This window comes from Homo sapiens, chromosome 17 (genome assembly GCF_000001405.40).
Source record: "Homo sapiens chromosome 17, GRCh38.p14 Primary Assembly".
NCBI classification, from domain to species: Eukaryota; Metazoa; Chordata; class Mammalia; order Primates; family Hominidae; genus Homo; species Homo sapiens.
In genome coordinates, this window is record NC_000017.11 from 74,785,842 (window position 1) to 74,805,055 (window position 19,214).

The window sequence follows — 19,214 nt, forward strand, 5'->3', positions numbered from 1 at the left end:
CTAGGCTTTGGAATGTTTCACGTGATGCTGGCCTATTTCTTCCCTGGCAGGTTTACCTCCCTGCTATTAAATGTATGCTTTATTAACATTACCATCAAGTTTTGCTGTCTGAGAAAATACCACCCAGCCACAGAAAAAAGATCTAACAAACATTTAAGGTGACATGGGAAATCAGTTTGGAATTTAGAATTTACTTAAGGTAATTCACGAAGTAGGTGATAAACACACGCCTGGGTGCACGATCAAGTGTGGCACTCGCCTGCTGTGTACCTCCCCAGGTCTTCAGGGACGCCTACTCCTTGAGCCAGGTGTGTGGGCCTCACCAGCCGGTGCTTCAGGGAGGGTGGGTTCCACCTGAGGCTCTTCTCGGGGATTCCCACACACGTAGGGACTAGTCTGAAGTTGTCAGCAAGTGCCCCAGGCCAGGAAGGGGTTTAGGACTAGGCATTTCCATTCTCTCAACCGGGTAGGAATCCACAAGCTGCAAAAAAGAGATGGGAAGGAGCACCTGGAAACACCTCCCCTGAGAGGTGACCCTGCCCCATCTGTGCACCAAGCACCCTTCTGGGTACTGAGGGGGCCTCACCACAAAGATCCCTGCCTGTGCAGACTTGACTTTATGTTGTGGGGAGAAGTGACAGCGAGCAGTGAAGATAATAAATGGGTAAATGGAAGAGTGAGCCGGAAGGCAGTGAGTGCTGTGGAAAGAGGAAGGCGTAACAGGGCGAGGGGACTAGGATGCCGGCTGAAGCAGGGTCAGGGAGGGCTGCATCTAAGCAAGGATCTGAAGGGGGAGGGAGTGGGTGCGGGCGGAAGGATGAGACGGAGCTTAGTAGTTGGAGCAAACTAAGACGTACAGGAAGCTGAATGGGATAGGAAAACGCCCATGGTTTTCAGTTTCTTCATGCATTTCTTTTGGGGAGTTTTGAGGGTGAATCTTGGGGCACTATTGGTTCATTATCTACAGTGAGCCCTGGCAGCCAAGAGCTCTAGAAGTCCTTGTCCTTACATGACTCCGCTGTCCCCTTTAAAGGACCTTCAGCACAGGCAGCCATCTAATGGGAAGTGATCATTCTGGGCTCCCAGGCAGGGGGTACCACACCCCGCTCCTTGCTCAACCCATTTGTGTTTGAACGTGATCGATGAGTTGGCCTTGCGCAACCATGAAAAGTCTCTTTATGCCTTAATTAAGATTGATTTTAATTTCACGTCCAAAAAGAAGGGTAAATCCAAAGCCCTTAAAATGGTCACTTAGGCAAGATAATGAGAAACCTTTCTAGGAGGTGCTGAGGCGATTGGAATGGGGGTTTCAGAGCTGGCTGCTCCCCCAGAGTGGGAGTGAGTGTGGGTTTAACTGGTGTGGGGCCAAGTGACCCCTCTGCCTCCTGCCACCTGACGTCAGGGTGAGCAGTCAGCCCCCCAACCCTTGTCAACACTCAGGGAGAGGCAGGGGTGAGTCTGCTGGCAGAGTTGTCCTGGCCTCAAGAAAGCAGGAGATGGGCCGGGCGCGGTGGCTCACACCTGTAATCCCAGCACTTTGGGAGGCCGAGGCAGGTGGATCATGAGGTCAGGAGATCGAGACCATCCTGGCTAACAAGGTGAAACCCCGTCTCTACTAAAAATACAAAAAATTAGCCGGGCGCGGTGGCGGGTGCCTGTAGTCCCAGCTACTCGGGAGGCTGAGGCAGGAGAATGGCGTGAACCCGGGAAGCGGAGCTTGCAGTGAGCCGAGATTGCGCCACTGCAGTCCGCAGTCCGGCCTGGGCGACAGAGCGAGACTCCGTCTCAAAAAAAAAAAAAAAGAAAGCAGGAGATGAATGTTCGTCCCATGCTGTTCCACGGCAGAGATGGATTCATACCTCAGGTTTTATTAGCAGGAAGGCAGCCCACTTCTGTATCCTCCGTTAACAAAAGCATTCATGCATTCCAGCTGTCATCTAGGTCTCTCAAGTATCCTTTTTTTTTTTTTTGAGACAGAATCTCGCTCTGTCACCCAGGCTGGAGTGCAGTGGCACGATCTCGGCTCACTGCAACTTCTGCCTCCCGGATTCAAGCAATTCTCCTGCCTCAGCCTCCCAAGTAGCTGGGATTACAGGCATGTGCCACCATGCCCAGCTAATTTTTTTGTATTTTTAGTACAGACGAAGTTTCACCATTTTGGCCAGGCTGGTCTTGAACTCCTGACCTTGTGATCCACCCACCTCAACCTCCCAAAGTGCTGGGTTTACAGGCATGAGCCACCGCCCCTGGCCTCAAGTTTCTTTAAGAGGAAAAGAAAAGATGATTTTTCCAATCTAGTCTGACTTCTTGGCAAGCGTCTAATGCCACCTCCCAATCTCCCTTTTGAATTGGTCCGTAGAAGTGCAAACTTATTTTAATATTAGCCAGATTATTTGGAAAGTAAAAAGTACTGCCAAAGAAAAAAGGGATGGATTCCGGAGCCAAGTACCCATTTCCAATTATCCATGCCTGCGCTCCTTCCGTGAGTGTATGTAATTGGGAGGTGACCACTCGCCTGTGTCCTTGCAAGGTTGACGTGAAAGCTGCCTGCTGTCCTTCCAGAGGCTGGGGGGCCCTTTGTGAACCAGCCTCCCCTCACTGAGAGCGTCCTCTGATGTCTGCCCCCAACAGCCCCTCCTGGGTGTGAGCACGGCTTGTCCCAGTATCACGTCTGCCCCCAGCTCCCTCTCTCCTTTGGTTATTTTCCCTCCCATCACTTAGTTCACACCTCTCTCTCTCGTGCACCGGAAATACGTTCTCACTATAGACAGCAACGTCAAAGCATGCACACCTTTTTACCAAGTAAAGCCCATCTCTAGGGAACAGCTCTCAGAAAAGAGAATGGTCTGGGCTGGTGGGTCTGGTCGGTTCTTACAATGGTGTTTTCCTTCTCTCTCTGTCTCCTCCAACCTGTCCGCCTTTGGCGCTGGGCACTCGGCCCCCTCAGCTTCGTGACCACCACCTTTGTGATAGAGGCCATGGCTGCAGCCAACGCGCAGCTCCACTGGAAGAGGATGGAGAACCTCAAGGTGTGTGTGTTGCCCTCGTCTCCGGGCCATGCCTCTGTTCCGTCAGGTACCCAGCAGGCGGTCTCAGCAGCCCATTCTTTTCCTCTCAGTGCATGGCGGGCTCTGTCCACGGCACTGCTCCTGGACCCCAGTCCCAGAGCTGAAGCTTAATAGCCACCTAAATCTTAAAGCACAAATGGAGCCTCTGCCACTTTCCCGTCTCAGCCTCAGGCCCTCCTACCCACACCCGCACCCAGCTCAGCTGTTTGAAATCTTTGTACCCAGGAACTGTGTTGTCACTTCTTCCCGAGTGCGTCTCTGCCACCTCTAATGGGGCAGCATAGCTGTGCTGAGAGCTTCCTAAAGATACAGATACCCTGCAGAAGGAAAGAACACAGGGGCCGGTGGGGGGGCTCACACCTGTAATCCCAGCACTTTGGGAGGCCAAGGCGGGCAGATCACTTGAAGTCAGGAGTTCAAGATCAGCCTGGCCAACATGGTGAAACCTCATCTCTACTAAAAATGCAAAAATTAGCCTGGCATGATGATGTGTGCCTGTAATCGCAGCTACTCAGGAGGCTGAGGCACAAGAATTGCGTGAATCGGGGAGGTGAAGGTTGCAGTGAGCTGAGATTGTGCCACTGCACTCCATCCTGGGCAACAGACTGAGATAACATGAAGTGGCAAGCATTTCAAAAAAAAAAAAAAAAAAGAGGCCGGGCACAGTGGCTCATGCCTGCAATCCCAGCACTTTGGGAGGCCGAGGTGGGTGGATCACCTGAGGTCAGGAGTTCAAGACCAGCCTGACTAACATGGTGAAACCCCATCTCTACTAAAAATACAAAATTAGCCGGCCGTGGTGGCAAGTGCCTGTAATCTCAGCTACTCGGGAGGCTGAGGCAGGAGAATCACTTGAACCTGGGAGGCAGAGGTTGCAGTGAGTTGAGATCACACCATTGCACTCCAGCCCAGGCAACAAGAGCAAAACTTCGTCTCAAAAAAAAAAAAAAAAAAAAAAGGAAGCAGGTTTGCCATTGTCCTAGGGCTTTTCTGTAGAGTTCCATGCTCTTTTTTTTTCCTTTCTCTCTTTCTTTTTTGTTTTTTTGTTTTTTTGTTTTTTTGAGACAGGGTCTTCGCTCTGTCACCCAGGCTGGAGTGCAGTGTTGCAATCACGGCTCACTGCAGCCTCGATCTCCTGGGCTCAGGTGATCCTCCCATCTCAGCCTCCCAGGTAGCTAGGACTACAGGCACATGACACCACACCTGGCTAACATTCTGTACTTTTTTGATGTGCTCCTTTCTTTTCCCTTGTTTTCCTCCCTCCTCCTCGTCCATCCTACTGGCTCCCAGGAGGAGGAAGATGACGACTCCTCCACAGCCTCAGACAGCGATGTTCTCATCCGGGACAACTACGAGCGGGCAGAGAAGCGGCCCATCCTGTCTGTGCGTAAGTCTTGGGGTTCTCGCGGGCCCGCACTTCCCTCCGGGCCACAGGGTTCCCTTTCTTCATGGAGAGGGCCCTGGAGAGGCTCCCCGCAGATTCTGGCATTTCCTGCCCCTGGGTTCTGAGGCAGGCCCTGTGGTAGACTCAAAAGAGCACAGGGTTTCAGTCCTGGGCACAGGCCTGGCCCCTGCTGGCTTGGCCACTACTCAGATTTGCAGCTTGGTAAGTTCCTTGACCTGTGCACCTCAGTTTCCCCCCATACCCCTTCCTGTTACTGAGATGATTAAATGCCTGGTTCCTTGCCTGGTGCACCCTGGAAGCTCAAGTAGATGTCGTTCTGTGGCATCTCTTCTTCCTCCTGCCTTGTGCCCTCATGTTCATACATGCCCCTGCCTTGCTGTCTCCTCCCTGGTCGGCTGGGTTAGGCTCTGACGCCTGCTCTCCCTTTCACCCCAGCAGGAGCATCTCTGAATTCCCTTAAAAAAAAAAAAAAAAAAAAGACTGTGTTAAACCATGTCAAGCAGGAAACATTAGGAAAAGTTTTCTCGAGTTTGGACACTTGGGGATTTCATGGTTTAGATAATTCAGTGAGGTCCTCACCACCCTCTGAAGCTCTCCACGTGAAGAACCACTTCCTCTTCCTTGTTCTTTTGGCTCTGCAGAGAGACGTGGATCTCCCAACCCGTTTGAAATCACAGACCGGGTGGAAATGGGACAAATGGCCTCCATGTTCTTCAATAAAGGTAGAAGTTCTTTTGGGGGTGGGGTGTGGGGAAACGGGGAGCTGGTGCTTCCCTGCAGGCCTGCACCCTTGTAATGAGGGCTCCACCCTGACAGCCAGACCATGGGGCAGAGCAGGTGGTAGAGCTGCTCCCTCAGCACCTGAGAAGCCACCTTGCTGACCTGTTTTCCTGGATTCCTCCCTGTCTGCGGGCATTAAAAACAAAGAGGCCGCTTCTCTAGCGGAAGTCAGGAACCCCAGGCAGCTACTCCAGCCAGGGTCAGGAACCCCAGGCAGCTACTCCAGTGAGGGTCAGGAACCCCAGGCAGCTACTCCAGCGGAGGTCAGGAACCCCAGGCAGCTACTCCAGTGAGGTTCAGGAACCCCAGGCAGCTACTCCAGTGAGGGTCAGGAACCCCAGGCAGCTACTCCAGTGGAGGTCAGGAACCTGAGGCAGCTACAAAATAAGCTTTTTCCTTTTCCTGCAAAGGAAGTTGATGGAGGCCGGTTGATGGTTTTGCACCTCCTGCTTGATTGCCTCTGACCTTGCCCTCTTCTGGCCGATTCTGTCTAGAATAACACCTTCTGACAGCGCTAGAATCTGCTATGCGCACGCCTGGGCGTGGCTTCCCAGTGGCCGGCAGAGGGCGCTAGGAGCCCACACCCAGGCTTGCTGAGTGAGACCGGAGCCCTGAAGTGTGCTGGTGAACCTGCTCCTTCCTGGGATCTGGCTGCAACCATAAGGGAGCCACCCAACTCTGGGGTTGAGTTGTTGGGTGTGCCAGCGACATCTTATATCTCCATGGCAAATCTGGTTCTTTTGGAAGATGAGCTATTTAAGAGTTTAGTGGGCCGGGCACGGTGGCTAACTCCTGTAATCCCAGCACTTTGGGAGGCCGAGGCAGGCGGCTCACGAGGTGAGGAGATCGAGACCATCCTGGCTAACACGGTGAAACCCTGTCTCTACTAAAAATACAAAAAATTAGCCGGGCATGGTGGCAGGCGCCTGTAGTCCCAGCTACTCGGGAGGCTGAGGCAGGAGAATGGCATGAATCCTGGAGGCGGAGCTTGCAGTGAGCCAAGATCGCGCCACTGCACTCCAGCCTGGGCTACAGAGCGAGACTCCGTCTCAAAAAAAAAAAAAAGAATTTAATGGCCAGGCATGGTGGCTTATGCCTATAATCCCAGCACTTTGGGAGGCCGAGGCAGGCGGATCACTTGAGACCAGGAGTTGGAGACCAGCCTGGCCAACATGGTGAAACCCCATCTCAAGTAAAAATATGAAAATTAGCTGGGCGTGGTGGTGCACACCTGTGGTCCCAGCTACTCCAGAGGCTGAAGCACAAGAATCACTTGAACCTGGGAGGCGGAGGTTGCAGTGAGCCGAGATCACACCACTGCCCTCCAGTCTGGGCTGCAGAGTAGGACCTTGTCTCAAAAAAAAAAGAAAACCAGAAAAAAGAGTTTAGTTTTTAATGCCCAGACCTGTTTATTTCCATTTCATTGAGAGTCAGTCACATTCTCAGTTCATCCTTCCCCTTGCAACTGTCTTCGAAGATTTTCTGCCCCTTTGTCAAAGCCCCGTTTGTCGAGTGGGCTGCCCTACCAGTTCTTTCTAGTCTTAAATGTGGCTGCACTTAACTTAGAGCCGGGGGGACTGTAGGAACTAGAATCTCTTTGACTGCTTTTTAGGACGTTAAGCATTTAGGCAGGGCGATGTGATTATCAGCCAAAGGCCGCCCTAGGGCCTGGTTCACCCTCCCTGCTGGACCGGCCTCACAGAGGGATTTCAGAATTCAGCAAAACCAACTGGTCAGGTTCAGCCCGCATCTGTGCTTCTCCTTTGTTCCATTTCCATCCCTCCCGTCTCACCAGCCTGAGCAAGCATAAGCGTTTCCTCCTGGCAGCAACGCAAAGTCCCCTTCCAAATGCAAGCTTTAAAATAAAGTGCACATTGGAAGGAAGACGCATGCTTTTAAACCTCCTTTCTCATTTTCATGTTGTGCAGTCTGCCCTGATTTCTTTAAGAATTCTAGCAAACAGCAGTTTTGCCTTTTTTGCCCCCCACTACAGACTAGACTCTTAATTTGCCCAAATCTAATGGAAAATAAAGACATTGTCTGAGACCAGCCTCACACTTAAAGGGAGTCTCCTCTACCCTGGAGTTTCTCAAGCTCAGTCCTGTTGATGTTTGGGCTGGGGAATTCCTCCTTGTGGGCCTGTTCTGTGTGTGGTAGGGTGCTGAGCAGCATCCCTAGCCTCTGCCTGCTGGTTGCCAGTAGCACCTCCTACTTATGACAGTCAAAACTGTCCTCAGACATTGTCACATGTTCCCAGCAGGGTCTGGGAGGCAAAATCACCCCAGCTGAAAACCTCCGCTGTGCTCCATTCCTGATTCACAGACTGCCAGATTGTCATCTTCACCCTTGGTGGGGCTGCCTCCTCTATAGGAGGCTCCCTTAGGGTCCCAGCTCATTTCTTATAATCAGAAATGCGGGCCTAGCCATTGATGTCTTCTCAGGAAGTTCATTGATCCCTTATTTTGTGTCTAGTAATGAAGTTTATTGACCAGGGAGGGCCAATGGCAGTTTATAAACAGAGCTGATGCCAGAGACCATTGGCAGGTGGAGGAAAGGCTGGGAGTGGGGCGGGGGACAATGCGTCCCCTCAGAGCAGAAAACAAGCTGGAGTGCAGGCTGTACCTGGAGCCTGGGCCTGAGTGACAGGCCAACCCCAGAGGCCACTAAGCTTGGACGTCAGGCTATCTCTGACATGTCAGGGAAGGACATGCCATATTCAAAAAGTGAGTGCCGAGGCCTCTTGGGTCCCCTTGAGGATCACGTTTTCTTAGTCTTTTCCCCCCCAGGCTCCTAGGAACAGAGCTGACCTCACATGGCCCAGGAATAACATGTCCTAGGCTTTCCGTTGGGTACCCTGCAGGCTCTTCTGAGCCACCAGGATTAAAAGGGAACTGTCACTTCATTTTTCTTTATGTTCTCAGAGAAGCCAGCAGCTTGAGACCAGTGACATCAAAAACGTGAGCCTCAGTCTGAGCAAGGGTGGAGACTGGTTGTCTGAGCAGTAACCCTTAGGTCATAGGGCCCTGCCACTCTTTTCAGAGCCCTTGCACCTGGCCTTTCTAGCTGGAATCATTTATGGAAGATGGCCCAGGTGGAATTCTTCTCACCCTTACGGGTTTGGAGACGTTCATGGACTTACTGGGGTCCTGAAACAAGTCTGATGGAATTAGGACTAGAGCCCTGTGTTCCCAACTTCTCGTTCAGCCTCCTGCTGGAGTGAGAGGGGACAAACGTCACCTCTGCAGCAGAAGTGTCAGTATCACACACCATCCAGAGTCAGCATTGTCCCTTGGGAGTGCTTCCCGTAAGAAGGAAAGGGGGCCTGTCTTGAGCACCATCTCCCCAGCACACCAGGCCACCGTGTGCTTGGGATCAGTCAGATTCAGAATGAGACAGTTGGCCTTTGGAAATCCAGGGCTTTTTACCCTTTGGATCCCAGCTTCAGAGAGCTGGGCTATTTTCCATCAACTTCTCTTTGCTTCAACTCTTTAGTAGCAATCTCTTGTCTTAGAGCCCGGTGTTGGCTGACACCAGAGGGGGCCCCAGCCCAGACGCACCTGGGGTTCAGGCTCCTGACTCGGGACATCTCTCCTCCCTCCTCCCACCCCAGCCATGCCAAGACTCACACTCACCGTGCACCTGTCTGGCTTCAAAATCTCTCTGATCCTCCCAGCCTCGTTGAGTCCTCTCAGGTGAAAGTCATGAGCCGATCTGTCTCTTGTCAGCATCACAGTGTAGCCAGCCAGAAAAAGAAATAGGACTTTGGGGTCATTTTCCCACTTTTTGTAGAAAGTAAACAGCTCAGAGAACTGAAAGCTATGGGAGAGGTAGAGATTTAGTCAAAAAGAAGAAGAAAAAAAAAAAAACATGCAGACATCTCTTTGTGGCTCCCTGACTGATGGCTGTGTTCCTTTCAGTGGGGGTCAACTTGTTCTATTTCTGCATCATCGTTTACCTGTATGGAGACCTCGCCATCTATGCTGCTGCCGTGCCCTTCTCCCTCATGCAGGTGACCTGGTGAGTACCCTCCTGGCCCCCAGGTTGGCGGTAGCCAAAGGGGCTTCCTCAGCAAGTCAGGGCAGAGTGTCCAGGGGAGAAGCACCATGCCAAGTGAGTTCATTGCATCTAGGGAATGCAGATGCCCAGGCCCTTTTCTGCACAGACCACAGCCAGCCATGCTGTCTGTCCTTAGCTCATGTCACTGTCCCCTTCCCTGCCCCACTAGGTTCCCACCAAGGGCTCCTGAGTCATTGGGAAATGGTGCTGCAGGAACAAGGAGGGTGCATCCTCAGAGATGCATCCCGCAAAGTGGTTTGTGAAAAGTCTGATTGTTGGCGCTCAGGCAGCTGTGCAGGGAGTGGCTTCTGTCTCCCCCAGCCCAGCCAGGCGGCCTCGCTGAGCCTGGGCCTGCTGTCATTCTCTTTATCAGCAGCGCCACTGGCAATGACTCCTGCGGTGTGGAAGCAGACACCAAATACAATGACACTGACCGGTGCTGGGGGCCCCTGCGCCGAGTGGACGCCTACCGCATCTACTTGGTGAGTGTCTGTGCCTCTGTGCCGCCTGCCCCAGCCCAGCCTGCACAGCTGAGGGCATTTGAAGTGCCTTTACTTCCAGGTAGAATCCTTTCCCCAGAGAGGAGGATCTACTCTTCTCCACACTCTGGCTAAGCACTGGGGCCTTGGCCCCAGGCAGAAATGGATCGTGTCACTAAGAGTCTAGCCCCCAAGGTTCCTGGCAGCAGGCCTCAAAGTCAAGCGTGGTTTGGAGTAGGCACTCAGGTCATAGCCAGATTCAGGACCGTGACTGTTGTAAACTTAGCTCAGATTCTAGGGCCGACCTCAGCAGAGTTCTCCAAGAGTGACACGTCTCATTTTTTCCGAAACTTTCCATATTTTGACCTTACTCCTGGCCAGCCCAAGAGCATATGGTTCGATGCTGGGTCTGGCCGTAAGCATCCTCTCCAGTTAGGGAAGGGTCAGCCCAGCTCTCTTCCTATCTTCCCTCCTCTCATCCTCCCAGTGGACAAGAGAAGACGATGAATCTCCAGGCTCGTTCTTGATTGCTTTGTGCCGTTGGTGGGGGGCAGGGAGCTGAATAATATGCCAGACAGGTCCTGGATAATAAGATACAAAATCAGAGACAGTTATTTATCTTTGCCTACTTTGGGGGCGGGACTCAGAAATGTTTTTCTTTAACTGTTGCAGTATCTGTTAATATTCTCTGCTTCCTCTTGGTCCTCCTCAGCCCTGACATAAATTTAGGTGTGCTAGGTGACACACAGTTTGACACGTGGCCACTTGGCTGATTTGGAGCAGGGAGGCAGGGACCAAGAGAGAGCCAGGCTTTTCAGGGAGCTGGCCTCCCGGCTTCATTATCCCTATCTGAGGAAAGGTTTCCACAGGCCCTGCAGGCTATTTGGGGCTGGATTTCTTAACCCCAAGGGGCCACTGAAGGGCTTTTCTTGCCCTCCTAGTCCCACTCTGCAGCCGTGCTGTAGGAGCCCTGTGGCCTGGGCCATGGAGAGGTTGGTTTTCCTCTCTGCCTCTCTGGAGCAGTCAGCTAATGGTCAGTGTGTCTTCTCCTGCACATTCATCTGTGGCTAGCAGTTTAGTAGGCTGCATCCCTGATTCCTCCGTTGCAGGTCTGGTGGGAATTTGGTAGCGGGTTAATTGTCTGGCACCCTTCTCCACCTTCCCCAGCCTTGGGGCGGGAAAAGGTACTGGCATGGCAGCCGGAGGGGTGAGCCCAGGCACTAGCAGCACAGCTGAGGCTCATTAGCCTCTTAGCTCTCAACAAACCATGACTGACAAAATTAGCAGAGGTATTAGTAAGGGAAAGGGCCCATCTGGATCTCTAGCAGGGTAGATGGGCAGAAGGAGGGGATGAAGGACAGGATTTGAGCGGCTCGCACAGACATGGTGGCATGTTCAGGGCAGAGCAGCCACAGCAGAGCCAGTTTGGTGGGTCTTTGCTGGGGAGGCTGCTGGAATCTAAAGACCCTGCCAGGCACACTCCCCGCCCACCAGCAAAACGGATACTGAGCGCTGGGAATATTGGCTGCTGCCATTTGCCTGATAAATTATTTAGAAGCGTTATTCTTGCCTTGTTAAATGGTTCCCTCACTTATTCCTATAAACCTTCCACATGATGGAAGCCTCCCTCCCTGGATCTCAATAACTCTCTGACCGAACAGAAGGAACCCTTCAGGAAAGCAGACGGGCATTAATTACTGCCTTCATCTCCCAGATACTGCATTTATAACTCATAGAGCTAATTGTCATCAGAGCCTGCAAAAGCCACGAAAACAGGAAGCAGAGGCTGCAGAACAGGAGTGGAGACCCTGGCTGCCCACGAGAGCCTTTTCTTTCTGGGCCAGTGACAGTATCCTTCCCCCATAGCCCAGTCCCCTGCTGGGGGCTTCTGTTTGCTCAGAGGCTTTTGGTTTGCATGGGCTCTTCTACCCAGTTTGGAGAAATCAAGGCAGATGGGCCTTGGCATTGTCTCAGAAGTCACTTCACAGTTTTGCATGTGGCTCCCAGGGTGTGAGGTTCTGCAGAACAGTAGCCTGCTGTTCCCTTGACCCCAGACCCTGGTGCTTTCATTGCTCTGCAGCCCCTTCCCCTCCCTTGGTGAGTTGGAAGGGGCAGAGTGACTGGAGGAAGGGGGGTTGGCAAAGATGTGGGTTTCCTCCCTCAGTCCTGAGCTCTTCTGCAAGTGATGACGGCATCTTCCCCTCCCAAGTCTGGCCTGCAGGTCTTATCCCTGTGCGTCTTTGTAAAGGTCAGGAGAGCTAGATTCCATCAAGTGGCCCCTTGGGCCCCAGAGGAGGAGGGCTGTCCTTCCCCGCTGCCCCCTGGTCATTCTGTTTCAGAAGATTGTCCATCCCTTCTAGGGATGCCACACTGCCTCTCACCACCAGCTGTTTCTGATTTTGCTGCCAGCCAGATTTCACTCAGTGTTCAGCAAGGCAGCGAGCAGGTCGGAGGAGAATTGAAAGCACCTCCCTACCCTGCACACAGACCTTGTTTGTCTCAGGTAGATGGTGCCCCTACCCAGGCTGCATTTTTAAAAGGGCCTGCTAATAATCTCTTCTTCATTGCCATTCTGCAACAGTAGTTCTGGGGGACAGAGATACAGACTTTTATATTGTGGTCTAACTTTCAGAAAGTCATCTGGAAGCGATTTCTTCTGTGTCTTCCCAGGAATGCTCCTGAGACGCACACACACGGTGAGAATCCTTGCTACAGTAACTGTCTCCAGGGCTGGCCTGTGTGTAGCATCATGATTACTTACAAAAAGGGAGATGCTTCTACCAGCAGCTCCCAGTGGCCTCCCAAAGCCCTTGACCTTCACCAGTGGAAAATTCCAACCCCACTCCTTGTGCCTGACGACCCTTGTCCATATCCTGTGCTTCCCGGCGCGGCTGATATGAGTCACTTTCCCCCTTTCCTTCCCTGGAGGAGCCACAGAGCAGGGTGCTGGGGGGTGGAGGTCCCCTGAGTCACTTGCTGCTTCAGTGGGCTCTCTGGGGTGTCCCAGCAGGCCACTGCAGCTGGAGCCAGCGGTGACCTCAGCCCTGTTATTAGGGCCCATGGAGATTATCATCAGGATCTGCTATCAGCTGACCTTGGATTCTCAGGCCCCCCACCCACCCATCCCTCCTGCTCTTTTGAAAAATCAAATGGGAATGTGTGAGATGCTCCAGCTCTTTCAAACGGGTAACCTTGCCTCCAGGCTAGGGAACATCTCAGGATTCTTTCTGCAGTTTCTCCGGCTTTGGTAGGCAACACAGTCAGAAGTTGGCATTTCATTCCTTCCTCTACAGCATGAAGGAGCCAGGGACCCCTGGTGAGGTGATAGGATTGCGTATGAACCAGTTCTGTTTGGGACTCAGACTGTCCCAAGTGTCTGGGATGCAGGCGTGTGTCACTCTCCCCCTGGGATCAAGGGCACTGCCCAGCACCTTTGTTGCACTTCCTTATTCCTGCATCACCTCCCAGCCAATATTCCTGTCCCCTGTCTGGACCCATCCCTCCTCCTAGAGAGAGTCAGAGGGAAGCAGTGTCAGAGGGGACAGTGGGGACTCCCAAGTGCTGAAAGCCTCTGAAAGCCTCTCACCATTAGGAAGAGCAAGCGGCATCTACCGCTCACAGGTGGACAGATGCTGCTGGGTCGCAGGTGGCCCGGCAGGCCCCGGCCGAACAGAGCCGGGAACGCAGATGGCAGAGCGGAGCTTATCCTGGCTGGAGACCCGGCCGCAAACTGCCCTGTTGAGCAGAGGGCCCTTCGTGGGCTGCCCTGGGACAGGACAAGGTCGCCCTGGCCTGCTCTCCTGCCTTGAACACAGGAGCTGTGAGATCCACCTCCGGGGCACAGGTGACTCAGGAGAGGGATACAGCCTGCAAGTGCCTGGCCAGTGCCCTGCCACCCCTTGTGACAGAGAGAGTCTTCCCAAGCTCCCTCCGGACACCCCCTTGAAGAAGTGGAGGGCCAGGGGGATTTCTGTCTGCTGGCCTCTCTTCCTAGAGGGCCGGGTCAGTCTCAGATTCAGGCTCAGGTTGACACCGGAAGGGTCAAGGGTCCTTCCAGCCCTGTTTGCGACAGCCCTGTTTTTTCTCGCTCTGCCAGGATTCCATCTTGGCCTCCCTCTCACATGGCAACACTGGCCTTTGTCCATTTGCAACACTTAAAATGGTGTGCAGTCCCCATTTCAAAACCAAATGCTTTCCTCCTAAAATAGTACCACTCAAGGAGAAAATATCCTTTTCATGAGGGTGCAGAGGGAGTGATGTGCCCACCTGGCAGTGCCATGCGTGCTGTGAGTGCCCCGCCCTCCCACGGTTTACCTTGCATCGGTGTAGCACATACCAGTGACTTTTGACTCCCACCCACACAGTAAAGTACACAGCGTCATCCCATTTCACAGCAGGGAAAACTGACTGAGAGACGGGGGCTTCCTGGGATCCCGGAGCTGAAGCAGACAGACAACAGCTCAGCTCTTTGGCCTCTCAGCTCTGTCCTGCCCTGGTGACACAGGCTTGCTCCACTTGCCCAAGACTCAGTTCCATAGGCCCTGCCTTGGCGGTGGCCCCCACTGCCATGTGCAGGCTGGGGCATGGAGCACCTCTTCTCAGCCCTGGAAGCCTGACATTTTCAAGTTGGTGGGGTGACCCGGCTGAGCATGTTCCCTGGTGAGTGAGCGCCTTTGCACGTCTGCCCATCATTGTCACCGACTTGATTGATGCCCTGTCTGCCCTGGTGCCCCTCACTCCTAGATAGCAAGGCCAGCTTTTCCTGGGCACTCAAGTAGTGTTAGAATTAAGTGCCTCTTCCCAAGGACACTTCCTTCCCCTGCCATGGTCTCTGTTCTTCTAGCGTCAGCCACTGTGCCCTGGGGCTGTGGCATCTGTTAATAAGTGGGTCAACGCTGCCTTCACTTGAATATTTATTCTTGCCAGTGCTGGGGCAGGAGGTGGCTTAGAGGCCTTCAGGACCAGTGAGGAAGGAAAATTAGTGAAGCAACAAGTTTGAGGAGCAGCAGTGACTTCACTGGACTTGGAGACTCTGGGGACACTGTGCCGCCTGCCTCCCAGGCACCACTCTTGTTGCTTTCAACGTCAGTGGTGCCCCCAGGGCACAACTCCAGTAGAACACAGTGAACACTGCCCCCGAGTTTATGCAGCGTCCAGCCCGGGATTGAGTGAAGTGCAGTCAAACAGGAAAGGTGGCCTGGGGAGGGCCTGGCAAGAAAGTGGACAGGATAAGCAAGCTGTCTCTGTTTAGGAGTCTAGTGGGTTGGCCCGTCTAGAAACGGAATGCAGGACCCTCAGCCCAGAAAGCAGACAGCCTGTCAAGAGTGTCCCTTCCTGGGCAACATCCACCCTCTCATGTGGTTCACGTGAGTTAGGACTCAGCCTCACACCAAACCAAGACGAGTCAGGAGGAGACTCCAGGACGCCTGGAGGGGGAAGGGTGTTGCTTCCAGGGTCGGGGACATCCAAGTGCCTCCTTTATAGGATGGCGACCATGTAGGGGCTCACTGGGGTGACCCGGGAAGCCCATCTTCTCTCCTTTCCTTTTCTTCTCCCTCCCAACGCACCTCTTGTCAGTTCCTCCTCATTCAGTTCTGGAGACTCTAGAAAGGTCGGGTTTGTTTTGCCTTTCACCTTTTCCTCCCCTCTCGCCTATGGAGAGATGTCCGTCACACCTGGTGGCACCGCAGGTGCACTGCGTGCAGTCGTTCTAACCCGTGCCCACCACCACCAGGAGCTGGACTCGGTGAGGCTTCGAGGTGTCTTCAGCCAGCTTTGGTGTGGGGTTGTGAGCCCCTGAGATGCATGTCCCGGGTGCTGTTTGTCCCACATATGCTGAGCCTTTGAGGTGTCTTCAGCCAGCTTTGGTGTGGGGTTGTGAGCCCCTGAGATGCATGTGCCAGGTCCTGTTTGTCCCACACATGCTGAGCCTTCTGCAGTCATCCCGTGAGACTGGGTGTCAAGGAAGAATGTGTTTCTTCCCCGCACCCCAAAAATGTGCGTGCCCGTACCCGCCACCCAAGCAGAGCTGGGAGTCTAACCTGGGTGAACTCTAACTTCAGACAGCGACTGCGCTCAGGCTGAAATGGTGACCTCAAAGGATTAGCTTGTCTCTTTCTTTTTCAAGGAAATCAATAATACAGGGACAGGCCTGTGTTGTTCTTGCTTGCTTGCTTTTTTTCCCTAGGAGCTGTCTATATATCTTAGACCAGGAATGGCTTCTTGTCTTCCGTGTGCTTTCCATCCCCCTACCCCAGCCCTCCCTAAATGAAATTCAGGTTGCCTGTCACTCACTCCCACACTGCAGCTTGTCTCTCTAGCTCCTAGCCAGGGACAGCGTGAACCCCCACCACCCCACCCATTCCTCCGCCACTGCTGCTCCTGTCTGAGCACGGCCCCTGTCCCTCCTTTCTTCCCGGAGTTGCTCCAGCCTGTCCCTTCACCTTGCTGAGGACACCTGGGTGACGCCTCCCTGAGTCACCCTGTGACTGCCTCCTCCACCCTCATCCCCAGTGCCCATGCTTTCTCCTCCTGCTCAGGGAGAGGGTTGCTGTTTTTGTTTTTAATGTCACTCTCAGGGACGTGGGTTCGGTTGACTGGCATTATGCCCACCATCCATCATGCCCCACGACCTATGACCTGTCCCCACCTTGGCCAATACCTATGCGCCAGTTGAGAGGATGATGCCTAGTCCCCCGTGCCACCGCCTCTATGGTCTCAGTACAGGTGCCAGACTGGGGGACTCAGTGTCACAAAGCAGCAGGCAGTGGCTTCTTCTCCCTACCACTCCCTTACCCAGCTCGGAAGCTGCTCATGGGCCTCTGTCAAGGTCCTGAGGGGTGACAGGGTCTTATGTTCTTGCTTCTAAGCTGGTGACCGACATAGCCCCCTTCACAGCATGACAGTTGGGTGTCTCTGGCCCTGGTAGAATGTGCAGGTTGGGTATCCCTTCCCCAAAATATTTGGGACCAGAAGCGTTTCTGATTTCAGATTTTCTTCAGATTTTTAGAATATCTGCATTATACTCACAGTAGAGCATCTTAAATTCAAAAATCCAAAATATTCCAGTGAGCATTTCCTTTGAGGATCGTGTCAGTGCTCAAAAAGTTTCAGATTTTGGAGCATTTCAGGTGTTGGAATTTTGGATTTGGGGTGCTTAGCCTAAACCATATTTCTTTACCCCATCTCCATTGTCTGTAAAATAATGAGTATAGCCTTGCAAAGACTTCCTACCCGCAGCAAGCCAGGTTTACTCCCGGGCACGTGGGGAAAACGGCAGTGTAACTTACCTGGTTGCTCATCCCTCACCCCACCCCCATTCACCAATTCCCCCAGGAAGTGAATGGAGATGGGAAATGATCTGTTGCCATGACCTTGACCCACACACACCCAGCATTCTTAACTCCTAGGAACCCCATTATATGAAAATCCAAAGGTATGAAATAAATTGGGAGGGTAGTTACTTGTTACAAAGTGATTCCTTACTTTACAGAAGGATTTGCTTCAGATTTCTCTTAAGTACTCAGTTTCCCTAGTGTATTTAAATGTTGTTCTGTGAAAATTAAGCATTTGTAAAAGAACTTCAGGAGCCCTTCTCTTGTGTAAAGGGAGATATCCGTGTATTCATAGGCAAAGGTGCAGAACCCCAAAGCCCGGTTGATGTTGCTGGAGAAACAGGCAGGCAGGGCTTGGGGTGGACATCATAGGCAGCCCACCTGAAAGCAGTAACCAGCGATTCCCCTTCCCCTCTCCCCATCCACATCCCTGAGCTGGGAGAGCTCCGCGGAGCTTGATAAGTATATACCCGAGCCCCACACCTGTGCACAGGCCAATTTGGTTGGGAAGCTTCCAGGCAGGGCTCAGTGGGGGAGTATCCATCCCTGCTGGGGACCTTCTGCGCTGAGCTTTTTCAGGACCGTTTCTTTGCAGGTCTCATCCTGATCCCAGTCAGACCCCGAGCCCGAGGCCTAAGCCCTCCTTGTTTGTGAGTGGTGCAGTCAGGGATAAAAACCCGGTGTGCCTCACTTCCCAAGCCACCTGGGCTGATCCTGGCCACTGACCTGTGCGTGCACATGCATTTCCAGTCATTCCCCTCGAGAAGCTGAGCCCCGGGCAGACTCCCAAAGCTCAACAGCCCAGTCCATCCCACACTGTGCACCCCGCTGCTTCCAGAACTCCCATTTCTGGGCAAAGAACTAAAAATAGTTTTTATTATATCTGTTAAGAGTACATCCCAGTTGTTGATTTCAGATCTCTCCCTGCCACCTTTTTTATTTTTTATTTTTTTCTTCATTTCACAAAATAAAAGTGTCAAAAAACTCCATAGTCTGTGGAATCTAGCAACCTCCCAGTAGTTTGAGAGTAACATGGAATGTTCTTCAATATTTTGTGCTAACTAAAATGAAAACTGTATATGCCAAACTGTTTGTCTTCTGCTCCGTGTCTGGCTGCTCCTTTTATCCTGTAGATCAGTCTGTGGCATTTGTGGTGGCCCTGCCAAGTTTTGTGAGGCTGTGCTATTCCCTGAATGATGCTTGCTCTGTTACAGGGTGTGTATCATAAGCAGAGCCTGATGTCTTTCTATATAGCGCCCCAGGGCCCTAGCAGTAATTGTTTAATTAAATAAAGCACTCACTCAAAAGTAATAGCCGTGATCCTTCGTGTGGCCAGTGTCCCAGCCAGCGGTGCTGGCCCTGCACACTGGCTCAAAAGCAGCACCTGTGTGCAGAGAAGAAATAGCTGAGTGTGCGCTGTGCAGTGCACCCTGGCCCTGAGGAGAGGAGCCACAGAACCCCAGAGGGTTTACAGCCAGCAGAGAGGTGCGAGGGACTCGGCTATGATGGCCCTTACACAGAGCTGAACGATTAGGGTGCACATTAATGATGATATCGGATGAATTAGCATAAGCCCGGATGTCTTGTGGATTCGCTGACAGTGGACCAAGGAACATTTTCATAAGCCTCAGGCACAAAAGGAGGCACTGGGGGTGTGGCAGCAGATACCCCATGTGAGTGTGACTCTAGAAGGGTCTTGAGCCACCGCAGGGCATGTGTAGTTTGGCAATGGCAAGAACTTCCTTCAACCATGGATTGAGACATTTTCTGAACACCTTGATGGGAAGAGAATGCAGGGACTGGTATTGGGTGTTGGGCACTGGCTGAGGCCGGGAGGCCCCTGCGGTCTGTAATGTCCAGTTCTGGCGCCTTCTCCCACACTACTGCAGGGAGGCTGTGCTTCACCTGAGAGGCAGGTGAACAGTCTCTGGGAACACTTCCCAGCTGGTCCCTTTCCCCTGGATCAGGAAAGTGTTTCTCAAGATCTGGTTGCCTGACCACTGGCACAAGAGTGCCTTCGGGCTCTTAATAAAAATGTAGATGCTTGGGTCCTGCGCCAGGCCTGATGCAGTATATTCGAAGGCCACAGGGC

At 52.8% G+C, this 19,214-nt stretch overlaps 1 protein-coding gene across 7 annotated transcripts in view; it reads left to right on the plus strand.

Moving 5' to 3' along the window:
- The window catches only part of SLC38A12 (solute carrier family 38 member 12), a 63,255-nt gene that overhangs the window by 9,343 nt on the left and 34,698 nt on the right, over nucleotides 1–19,214 (plus strand). For 3 of the 7 annotated variants that reach the window (NM_017728.4, NM_001321264.3, XM_017024799.3), the window contains exons 4-8: nucleotides 2,948–3,029; nucleotides 4,359–4,455; nucleotides 5,115–5,195; nucleotides 9,171–9,270; nucleotides 9,683–9,791. In NM_017728.4, the coding sequence (NP_060198.3) occupies nucleotides 2,948–3,029; nucleotides 4,359–4,455; nucleotides 5,115–5,195; nucleotides 9,171–9,270; nucleotides 9,683–9,791 (469 nt within the window). Of the gene's footprint in view, nucleotides 1–2,947; nucleotides 3,030–4,358; nucleotides 4,456–5,114; nucleotides 5,196–9,170; nucleotides 9,271–9,682; nucleotides 9,792–12,420; nucleotides 18,210–19,214 lie in introns of those variants that run through there. The other 4 variants (XM_006721963.3, XM_047436329.1, XM_017024798.3 and 1 more) reach the window with 3 other exon arrangements.